Raw genomic sequence first — 12,413 nt, forward strand, 5'->3', positions numbered from 1 at the left:
TTACTCATTTATAATGGAATTCAAGAATTTTCAATTATATCTGTACTTTTAATTTATGTAAGGTTATTATTATTACTATCTTTACTGCATTTGTTTCAAACCTAAAATGTTCATGATCCCAATTGTTTTATTCTAAGAAACTCTAAATAGATGGCCTTTGCTTCATGATTATCTCTAGAAGTTCAGGATAAACTTGAGGAGTTTGAATTAAGGTTGACCTAAAGTATTAGCATACATTTAATGCTGGAAGGAGCAATTTGGGACTTCTTAGGTGATATTAGAAAAAAAGAGAAAAATAATTTCTTCTTTTGTTTTTGAGAATGGAGTTTAAAACGTGATTGGAAAAAGAGTAATCTAAAGATATTTTGCCATAGGCAGTGTAGGTTGGCATCAATCTCCACACCTAAAAAAAAACTGTGACTGTTCAGAAAGTAGCCTTTTAAATGGCTCCATGAATATATCAGAATTATAATATTATAGGCTATTAAAGTTGGAAAGGATTTTTGAGAATATTTAACATAACACTTCAATATTTTAGATTAGACAATGATATCCAAAGAGATAAAATAATTTCCCAGGGATAAGTTTATTTGTAGCCGCGTATGAATAAGAACCTCATTTAGCTTCTTGGTTCAAACATTAAATATCTCTCCTTTAAGCTCAAAACAAAATGCTTTGCTCCAAATCCTCCTATTTAACACCCTACAGTTTCAATTGTAGACTTCTAGCAATCGTTAAGCATCTCAGAAAGAGTGTCAAAATGCTAACAGTGAAGATATCCATGCTTGTCATTTCCAAGAACTAAAATAAGTTTCAAGACTGGGCTACCATGACAGAGGTTGGATAGAAATTTTGCTAATATTGAATTTGTATTTTCTCTTGAAGTTATTTTTCCTTATATTTCCCTTTTAATTCACACACTTACTCAAATATATATAGTATCCAATCTTCTGAGACCATTTTTCTACTCTTTTTTCTTTACTAGTCACAAGTGAGTTATTTCATCAATGGTCTAATTTCCCACAAGCAAGTTTTTTTTTTTTAGCCTTCTATAATTATAATGTGTCAGAGGGAGGACATATCAACCAGATCTTTGCTACTGAATGATGTCCCAGATTAGCAGCGTCAGCATCATCTAGAACCTTGTTAGAAATACAGATTCTCAGGCCCTGTTCCAAATCTACTGAATCAAAATCTGCATTCTGAAAAGAAGAGAATGACTCTAGGTGAGTCCCATGCACATTAAAGTTGGAAAAATGACTGAACTCAATCAATAATTTATGTAGATGTCAAGGGAAAAGTAATTTAAAGGTCCATAGTAAGACTATTTGTATTATGAATATTAGTTTAAAAACTCAATTCAATTCAATTTAAAAGGGACAGCTAAAGTGAAGACATCAAAGATAAATGGAGTAAACTCTCTGTTTTGCTTTGCTTTGTTTTCTTAGCTACTTCTGTTATTTATTTATTTAGGTAAAACAGAAGTCTACCATTCTCTAAAGCAGCATTGCCTATGTTAACAACATAGTTTTTCTTTTTAAATGTTCAAAGGTCATACAGGTTCCCAGAAACACAATGATAATTGAAATTACTAAAAGAATGAAAAATATCACTTTTGCATACAGTGGCAACACTACAATAAGATAAAAGGTGAGAGGTGGAAAGAAGTGGTGCAAGAAAACTACTTTTGAAAGATAATCATTGAATCATTCATCCGATAATAAATCCATATATTATCTCATAAATGGATTATACTGTAGACTTGAATACTCCTCACTCTTTTTTTTTTTTTTTTTGAGAAGGTGTTTCGCTCTTGTCGCCCAGGCTGGAGTGCAATGGCATGATCTCAGCTCACTGCAACCTCTGCCTCCCGGGTTCAAGCGATTCTCCTGCCTCAGCCTCCCTAGTAGCTGGTGATCCGCCCGCCTCAGCCTCCCAAAGTGCTGGGATTACAGGCATGAGCCACTGCACCCGGCCTCCTCACTCTTGACATACATGCTGCCTCAAGTGGTCTGTCAACACAAATATAGGACCCCTTGGTCAAAGAATACCCATTCTGCTTTCTACCACATTGGTGTCACCTCTAATATATACATCTTTAATTCAATTAGGTATTTTTAACGGGTCAAAATGTTAATTTTACTTTTAAAAGGTTTCAGAATAATTGGGAAATTTGGCAAAGGAGATGTGGTGAGATGGTCATGGCTTTACTTAAACTAAATTCACTCTAAGGAAAATCTACGAGAGGGAACCAGCAGGTTACCTGTTCACTGAAGCAGAAAAAAGTCTACTACGCAAAAGAAAAGGGAGCACTTTTTAAACAATTTTTCCATTTGAGTTTCTGGAGAGTATACATCTTTACAATTGGTAGTCTGCGTGATAAACCAGTAAGAAATACTAAGGTTCTTTATAAAAGTTGTCATATAGTTTCCAGCAACTTGTCAATTTGGACAATGATGTTTCACTACTCACTCTGGAACAGACACTGGTGAACAAACATCTACAATAGTTTTGCTGAAAAATATTCACAGGCTGGCCGCGGTGGCTCAATCCTGTAATCCCAGCACTTTGGGAGGCCGAGGCGGGTGGATCACGAGGTCAGGAGTTCGAGACCAGCCTTACCAACATGGAGAAACCCCGTCTCTACTAAAAATATAAAAATTAGCCAGACGCGGTGGTGCAGGCCTGTAATCCCAGCTACTCGGGAGGCTGAGGCAGGAGAATCACTTGAACCTGGGAGTCAGAGGTTGCAGTGAGCCGAGGTTGTGCCACTGACTCCGGCCTGGGCAACAGAGTGAGACTCCGTCTCAAAAAACAAAAATATATTCACAAAAAATTTTGGTTGCAACTTTTAGAAAAAGAAGTTTCATTTCTCAGAAGGAACAGTTTGCTTTTGTACTTAGATCAGTACATGTCACAGTTGAGAAATTAAAATGGAAAAGCCTTAATTTAAAGGATTCATTGTCTATTTTAGATTGCTGTATTGCTGTTGTTTCTAATATCTTGTCTGCATTTAATCCCCAAAAGAATAACAGCTCTGAGAACACAGGTGGGAGTGGCTGCTGCTACAATTATCGTTATTTTGTCCCATACGACAGTTGTTAGCCAGTCGGGAGCAAGGGAAATTATTACTATACGGCTAGAGGAGGCCTAAAAACAAGTGATGACATAATTTTCACGCTTCCTTTCCATATGAAGCCATAAAAAAAAGAACAAGAGAGTTGGCTGTTTTCCTTCACACAGTGAGAAATCTAAAATATATGTTACTTTAAGAGAAATAATTTGCTCTAATGTGTTTCACAATGCCTAGCACATGTTAAAGCACTCACAAGTGTTTGTTAAGATCATGAATAAATGAAAAATTGAAATGGAATTGGGGGCGATAAGCCCAAACTTAAAGGCAAAACTTCATATTTTCTGCTATCTACATAAAAGTGGTAAATCATCATTTCTAACTTTTGATTAACAGATTAACATGCACTAGTCTTTTAATAAATGCTGGTATTTTATTAATTCAGCAAGTAGTTGTTGATCTCCTACTAAATGCCAGTCACTGTTCTAGGCACTGAGCATACAAAGATAAATGTCATATTCTCTGACTCAGAAACTCAGAGTCCAGTCTGAGTGCAATGAATACTAGGACATGCCCAGATGCCTTCTTCATGAAAGGAGGACTCATTTCTCCAGCTTCTGGGAGGATTGATGACTGATGACTATACCTGAGTCCCTCTTTGAGAATTTCTCTCAGCCTAAGAGACCTATTGGATACAAGGTCATATGCCTTTCCTAGAGGTAGTCTACATCCAATGACTGGTTGCTATGAGTGAGTTAAATCCTGGCTACCTTGTCTCAAAAAAAAAAAAAATAAGAAGAAAAACTGTGAAGTTCCATTCCAAGTCCAGAGGACTTCAAGTGATTCTTCTGCCTCAGCCTCCCAAGTAGCTGGGATTACAGGCCCGCACCGCTGGGTCCGGCTAATTTTTGTATTTTTAGTAGAGATGGGGTTTCACCATGTTGGTCAGGCTGGTCTTGAACTCCTGAGCTCGTCATCCAAGGTCAGGAGTTCCTGGGGACTTGGCTGAAGACTGTGTTGCAACTGCTTTGCACTGCACCTCTTCTCTTTGCCAAGACCCACATCTCTCATTCTCCTCTGTGTGCCTCTGATAAATTTTCTGTCCCAAAATCTTCATCTCAGAGTTTGTTTCATGGTGAATTCAAACTAAGAGAGTTGAGGCTAGCAGAGGTCTAAGAAATAAGAAGCTGAAATGGATTCTGCAACCAGCTGTAGGGCACTAAAGATGCTCTCCCTAGTACCAGGGCACTAACTGTAGGAGTGCAAACATCAGACTGTTCATGATTAGTAAACTGAGATGGGATATTGATGGAAGGGTATGTACTAGCAGGGACAATACTTAAATTTTTAAGAAGATATATAACATACTAATTATAAATAAAATAAAAATTTGTTGATCTTTTTTTGCAGCTCGATTGAATTTATTTTTTATATATTTTTTACTTTTTAAAAATTTTTGCAGAAGTTATTGGGGTACAGGTGGTATTTGGTTGAATAAGTTTTTTAGTGGTGATTTGTAAGATTTTGGTGTACCCATCTCCTTAGCAGTATACACTGCACCATATTTGCAGTCTTTTATCCCTTGCCCCCCTCCCACCATTCCCCTCAAGTCCCCAAAGTCCACTGTATCCTCATAGCTTAGCTTCTACTAAGCGAGATGTGGACTTCTCATATCAGTGAGAATATACGATGTTTGGTTTTCCATTCCTGAGTTACTTCACTTAGAATAATAGTCTCCAATCTCATCCAGGTCTCTGCAAATGCCATTAATTCATTCCTTTTTATGGCTGGGTAGTATTCCATCATATAAATATACAACAGTTTCTTTATCGACTCATTGATTGATGGGCATTTGGGTTGGTTCCACGATTTTGCAATTGTGAATTGTGCTGCTATAAACATTAGTGTGTAAGTATCTTTTTCATATAATGACTTATTTTCCTCTAGGTAGATACCCAGTAGTAGGATTGCTGGATCAAATGGTAGTTTTACTTTTAGTTCTTTAAGGAATCTCCACACTGTTTTCCATAGTGGTTGTACTAGTTTACATTCCCACCGGCAGTGTACAAGTGTTCTCTGTTCACTGCATCCATGCCAACATCCACTGTTTCTTTTTATTATTATTTTTGATTATGGCCATTCTTGAAGGAGTAAAGTGGTATGGCATTGTGGTTTTAATTTGGGTTTCCCTGATCATTAGTGATGTTGAGCATTTTTTCATGTGTTTGTTGCCCATTTGTGTATCTTTTTTTGAGAATTGTCTATTCATGTCCTTAGCCCACTTTTTGATGGGATTGCTTTTTTTTCTCACTGATTTGTTTGAGTTCTTTGTAGATTCTGGATTTTAGTTCTTTGTCAGATGTATAGATTGTGAAGAGTTTCTCTCATTCTGTGGGTTGTCTGTTTACTCTGCTGACTGTTCCTTTTGCCGTGCAAAAGCTCTTTAGTTTAACTAAGTCCCAACTGTTTATCTTTTTTTTATTGTATTCTCTTTCGGGTTCTTGGTCATGAAATATTTGCCTAGGTCAATGTCTAGAAGGGTTTTCCCAGTGTTATCCTCCAGAATTTTTATAGTTTCAGGTCTTAGATTTAAGTCCTTAATCCATCTTGAGTTGATTTTTGTATAAGGTGAGAGATGAGAATCCAGTTTCATTCTCGTACATGTGGCTTGCCAATTATCCCAGCACCATTTGTTGAAAAGGTTGTACTTTCCCCACTTTATGTTTTTGTTTCCATTGTCGAAGATCAGTTGGCTATAAGTAGTTGGGTTTATTTCTGGGTTCTCCATTCTGTTCCATTGGTCTATAAGCCTATTTTTGTACCAGTACCATTTGTTTTGGAAACTATGGCTTTGTAATACAGTTTGAAATCAGGTAGTGTGACGCTTCCAGATTTGTTATTTTTGCTTAGTCTTCCTTTGGCTATGCAGACTCTTTTTTTGGGTCCGTATGAATTTTAGAATTGTTTTTTCTAATTCTGTGAAGAATGATGGTGGCATTTTGATGGGGATTGCTTTGAATTTGTAGATTGCCTTTGGCAGTATAGTCATTTTTACAATATTAATTCTACCCCTCTATGTGCATGGAATGTATTTCCATTTGTTTATGTTAGCTATGATTTCTTTCAGCAGTGTTTTGTTGTTTTCCTTGTAGAGGTCTTTTGGCTCCTTGGTGAGGTCTATTCATAAATATTTTACTTTTTTTGCAGCTATTGTAAAAGGAGTTGCGTTCTTGATTTGATTCTTCGCTTGGTCATTTTTGGTGTATAGAAGATCTACTGGTTTGCATACTTTAATCTTGTATCCTGAAACCTTGCTGAAGTATTTTATCAGTTCTAGGAGTTTTCTGGAGGAGTCTTTAGGGTTTTCAAGGTAAACGATCATATTGTCAGCAAACAGTGACAGTTTGACTTCCTCTTTTTTTTTTTTTTTGAGACAGAGTCTTGCTCTGTCACCCAGTCTGGAGTGCAGTGGCACCATCTCAGCTCACTGTAAGCTCCGCCTCCCGGGTTCACACCATTCTCCTGCCTCAGCCCCGCCCCCCACCCATCCCCACCAAGCTGGAACTACAGGCGCCCACCACCAAGCCCAGCTAATTTCTTTTTGTATTTTTAGTAGAAATGGGGTTTCACCATGTTAGCCAGGATGATCTCCATCTCCTAACCTCGTGATCCTCCCATCTCGGCCTCCCAAAGTGCTGGGATTACAGGCATGAGCCACCATGCCAGGCCCAGTTTGACTTCCTCTTTACCGATTTGGATGCCCTTTATTTCTTTCTCTTGTCTGATTGCTCTGGCTAGGACCTCCAGTACTATGTTGAAGAGGAGTGGTGAGAATGGGCATCCTTATCTTGTTCCAGTTCTTATAGGAAGTGTTTTCAACTTTTCTTCATTCAGTATTATGTTGGTTGTGGTTTTGTCATAGATGGCTTTTATTACATTGAGGTTTGTCCCTTGTATGCTGATTTTGCTGAGAGATTTAATAAAAAATGGATGCTGGATTTTGTCAAATGCTCTTTCTGTATTTTTTGAGATGATCATATAATTTTTGTTTTTAATTCTGTTTAGGTGGTGTATCACATATATTGACTTGTGTATGTTAAACCATCCCTGCATGCCTGGTATGAAACCCACTTGATCATGGTGGATTATCTTTTTGAAATGTTTTTGTATTCAGTTATGTAGTATTTTGCTAATGATTTTAGCATCAGTACTCATCAAGTTTATCTGTCTGTATTTTTCTTTTTTGGTTATATCTTTTCCTGGTTTTAGTATTAGGATAATACTTGCTTCATAGAATTAATTAAGTAAGTTTCTTCTTTATCTATCTTGTGGAATAGTGTCAAAAGAATTGGTGTCAATTTTGCTTTGAATGTCTGGTAGAATTCTGCTGTGAATCCATCTGGTCCTTGACTTTTTTTTGTTGGTATTTTTAAATTACCATTTCAATCTTGTTGCTTGTTACTGGTCTGTTCAGGGTATCTAATTTTTACTGATTTAAGCTAGGAAGGTCATATTTTTTCCAGGAGTTTAGCCATCTCTTCTAGGTTTTCTAGTTTATGTGCATAAATGTGTTCATAGTAACCTTGAATGATCTTTTGTATTTCGGTGGTGTCAGTGTAGTATCTCCTGTTTCATTTCTTAATGAGGTTATTCGGATTTTCTCTCTTCTTTTCTTGTTGTGGCTAATGGTCTGTCAGTAATATTTATATTTTCAAAGAACCCGCTTTTTGTTTCATTTATCTTTTCTATTTTTTGTTTGTTTGTTTGTTTGTTTCAATTTTATTTAGTTCTGCTCTGATCTTGGTAATTTCCTTTCTTCTGCAGGGTTTGGGTTTGGTTTGTTCTTGTTTCTTTAGTTCCTGGAAGTGTGACTTTAGAATGTCAGTTTGTGTTCTTTCAGTCTTTTTTGATGTAGGTGCTTAGGGCTGTGAACTTTCCTCTTATCACCACCTTTGCTGTATCCCAGAGGCTTTGATAGGTTGTGTCTTTACTGTCATTCAGTTCGGAGAACTTTTAAATTTCCATCTTGATTTCATTTTTGACCCAATGCTCATTTAGAAGCAGGTTATTTAATTTCCATGTATTTGCATGGTTTTGAAGGTTCCTTTTGAAGTTGATTTCCAGTTTTATTCCACCGTGGTCTGAGAGAGTGCTTGATATAATTTCAATTTTCTTAAATTTATTGAGGGTCATTTTATGGCCTATCATATGGTCTATCTTGGAGAAAGTTCCATGTGCTATGTGAATCGAATGTGTATTCTATGGTTATTTGATGAAATGTTCTGTATATAACTGTTAAGTCCATTTGTTCTGAGATATAGTTTAAATCCATCATTTCTTTGTTGACTTTCTATCTCAATGACCTGTCTCATGCTGTCAGTGGAGTATTAAAGTCCCCCACTATTACTGTATTGCTGTCTACTTCATTTCTTAGGTCAATTAGTAATTTTTTTATAAATTTGGGAGCTCCAGTGTCAGGTGCATATATGTTTAGGATAGTGATATTTTGCTGTTGGACAAGGCCTTTTGCCATTATGTAATGTCCTTCTTTGTCTCTTTTAACTACTGTTGCTTTAAAGTTTGTTTTGTGTGATACAAGAATAACCACCCCTGCTAGAGGCAATAAATTACCAAATAGACAAAATTATTCTGCCCAGTGACATCATGAGTTTAAGTCATGATCTAATCCAGAGTCAACCATATGTGTGGATAGATGATAAAGCCAAATTGGCAGTATTGAAGATTATATGTGGGCCCAAGAGCATGGGCTCCCACACAACAGTGCCAATCTAGTTATTGCTACTATCAGTTGTCTGGCCAGTCAGCAACAGAAACCAACAATAAGCATCTGATATGGCACTCATACTAAAGAATACCAAACAACTAATTGATGTCAAGTTGATTATATTGGAGTCTTTCCATCCTGGAAGGGACAGCAGTTCATCTTGATTGGAATTGTTTCTATATTCTAGATATGCAGCTTTTCCTTCTGACAAAGTCTTAACCAACGTCACTGTATAAGTGTTTCTGAGTGTTTGGATCTACAGACACGGAATCTTACATGACACAGCATCAGATCAGAACCTCCCTTGTAGAGCAATGAAAGTGCATCAGAGGACCTACCATATGGGATCCACTGCTTCTATCACATACTTCACCACTCAGAATCTACCAGAAAAATAAAATGGCCCTTTAAAAGAGCAATGAGGCACTAGCTTAAGGATGACACCCTGTAAGAATTGAACACTATCATTCAGGGAGTAACAGACCCCCTAAATCAAATAAGTAACCATTATGTAGTGCAGTGCTGCTTCCAACAGGGAGAATACATGGTTTCAGGAAAGAAGAGGTGTTTGTAGAAATGGCTGTGCTTATGAATAGTGATTGTATAGGGTAGATGTGCTTCCTGTCTGCACAACTCTGGGTTCTGCCAGTCAAGAGACCCGGGTTGGCAAATGTATTAGCAAAAACACTTCTGACAGGTAATAAGGCAAGAGTTTTATCAAACTTTCATTTACAGCTGTTTGGGCTCCTTAGGTCATAAGACCAGCAGTCAAGAAAAGGATGGTGTCACCGTCCATCAATGGTAATTAGTAGGTCTGTGTAATAAAGATCTGTGTAATTGCTGTTAAACAAAGGGGGCAGAAAGAAAATGTTCACACCTTTCTGGCCCAGTCAGATGTGTTTTTGTATTTCATTTCCTAATTTTGTAGATAAGCAGAGGAATGAAAAGGGTATGCTGCATACTCCTGACCCCAGAAAAAAAAGCATGGTTATCAAGTATTCAGATCATCCAGGCATAAGGCTCTGGATCAGTGGTATGTATACTATAGCCAAGTCAGACAGGCTTTCAAGCTGAGAACCATTTCTGTGAATCTCTTCCAAACTCCTGTTCAGTAATATCACACTGGTAGCTTGAAATTAGTGACGATGAAAGTATTTACATTATAGGAATTGGCAAGTGCTAGTAATCAGGATATTTCTATTTACTTATTTATGGAAATTTAGTTTGTCAACACGTCATGGGTCTGGATCAGCTACCAGACGAGCAGAATTAATCAACCTAGAATGGGTTGTAGAGATGGAAGAAGATAAGAATCATTTGCAACCTCTAAACCAGTTGCCCCAATGGGACTGCAATTCCTCCCACTAAGTTGTATTTTTTGTTTTTATAATAAATCAACCAGAATTCTAGAGAAGTTGTTCCCAGAACTTATATGAAGCAAATGGATCCAACCAGCACAAGGTGGTGGATGCACTAATGTAAATACTCTTATTACAGCCAATTTCAAGCTATGAGTAAAATACTACTGAACATGGAGTTGGAACAAGATGTATAAAAATGAGGCTGGGCATGGTGGCTCACATCTGTAATCCCAACACTTTGGGAAGCAGAAGTGGGAGGATCACCTGAGGTCAGGAGTTTGAGACAAGCCTGGCCAACATGGTGAAATCCTGTGTCTACTAAAAATATAAAAATTAGTCAGATGTGGTGGTGCCTGCCTGTGATCCCAGCTACTAGGGAGGCTGAGGCAGGAGAATCGCTTGAACCTGGGAAGCGGAGGTTGCAGTGAGCCACGATCACGCCACTGCACTCCAGCCTGGCTGACAGAGCGAGACTCCGTTTAAAAAAATGAAAAAAAGATTATCAGCCTGAAGACCAGTTGAGTTTGAAGGCTTTGCTCTTCAGAGAGCATACTCTAGGACTGAGATTGGCAGGCAGTACATTGATTAGAGCGTACCCTTAGGATCAATACTTGTGGAAGGGGAAAAGAGCAAGTAGGATTGGGCAAAGAAGTCAAGCCGCTGGGATGCAGGGCTGGACAGTGTGAGTCAGCTCCATGGTGAGCTCTGGAGCTGATGATTTCCATTAGAGTTCTCAGGCACTGGGCCAAAATGGATATGCCATTATACTCTACTTCAATCAGCCACTAGATCGCCCCCCTAGACATTGCAAACTTGACCAAGACAGCTCATTTCAGCTGATACAATCACTGAAAATTCTGATAGATAATAGCTGTCTACTGACTAGATTACCAGTAGTGGGACTGCAAGCACCTTCTTAAAAAGGAGTTTGGGCAGAACATCTCCACAACCGCAGTGTACACTCCTTCTTTAGGACTGTGGCACTCATTACCCCACCTTCTAAAGGGTTGGTATCTGATGGCTGTTACCTGAGAGTCACTTTGAGAATTGCCTCAGCCAAAAAAACCTCCTTTGCAAAAATCTGTGGTCCCTGTCCAGGAGAAGTCCAAATCCAAAGACTGGTTCTGTTAGGGGTAGGGATGGATACAATAACTCAGTGTAGTTGCCTCAAGGGCATCCCATGTGAAGCACTATCACAGCAGCAGGACTCTCTTGAGATCATCTGAGGCCTTTGTGTGACTATGTCATAAATTGTATCTTCCCTCTTCCCATTCTCTCTTCCTTTAGTTCCCCACAAGTGTTGATCTGGAGGGCACACTCCAAGAAACTTCCTCCAAGCAAATCTCCATCTCAGTGTTTGTTTCCTAGGCAACCTGATCTAAGAAGTGATGAAAGTCAAACTAGAAACTATATATCTGTGTAATAAAAGATATGACATAAGTAAGCAACAGTGCCACTGAAGCATAGTAAGATCATTCAACTCTATAGGTTGTGAAGATGCAAAGAGGAGGGGTCAGTGCACCCTCAACAGGTAAGATGATATCATCCGTCTCCCAGATGGCCCAATTAAAATGAAGCTCTTAATCTCTCCAAATTTGAGGACACAATAGTTAAACTTTTTATGCAGATATATGTAACTGAAACCTAATTATGTTAGCTTTAAAAATGTTTTGTTCTCACATATCAATAAATTTTCAGATAGCTATCCAGAGTTGGTATGGTAGATCCATAATGTCACTAGTGACACAGACTTTTTTATCTATCTCAGATCTGCCATTCTTACTGTGTGACTGTTTTCCTCAGGCTCACAGCATAATTGCTGAATGTATAGACAACAGCTTTCTTTCTCCACAGGAAGAATGGGAAAGATCAAGAATGGGAAAAATCAAAGAGCAAATTGCAACATGCAGAAGTCAAATGACTTGTCTGCTTTAAAATGTTCTACTGAACATCTCTCCCACAAAACTTCTGATTCCGTCTTATTGGCCAGAGCCAGTTCCTACAGCACATCTGATTCCAGAGAACATAGGGAGCAGCTAGTCACCTTGTTCCCTCAACCAAATTGAGATTATGTTAGTTAGAAAACAAGAAAAAAGCAGATATTGGGTAGGCAACTAGTAGTATCAACAACAGAAGATTACTATGAAAGGAAAACCAAAATAAACAAAAAGAGTTATTGTTAGTGTAGATTACT

At 38.0% G+C, this 12,413-nt stretch overlaps 1 annotated feature.

The window, feature by feature from the left end:
* Window positions 2,404-2,573: an enhancer, noted in NCBI's record as "experimental_64126 CRE fragment used in MPRA reporter constructs". NCBI's record gives its function as "activates a minimal promoter by MPRAs in K562 erythroleukemia cells, with activity observed for the introgressed 3:104644576 variant allele {active_cell/tissue: K562}" and the evidence as "EXISTENCE:reporter gene assay evidence [ECO:0000049][PMID:34662402]".

The sequence above is a fragment of the Homo sapiens genome, chromosome 3 (genome assembly GCF_000001405.40).
Source record: "Homo sapiens chromosome 3, GRCh38.p14 Primary Assembly".
NCBI classification, from domain to species: Eukaryota; Metazoa; Chordata; class Mammalia; order Primates; family Hominidae; genus Homo; species Homo sapiens.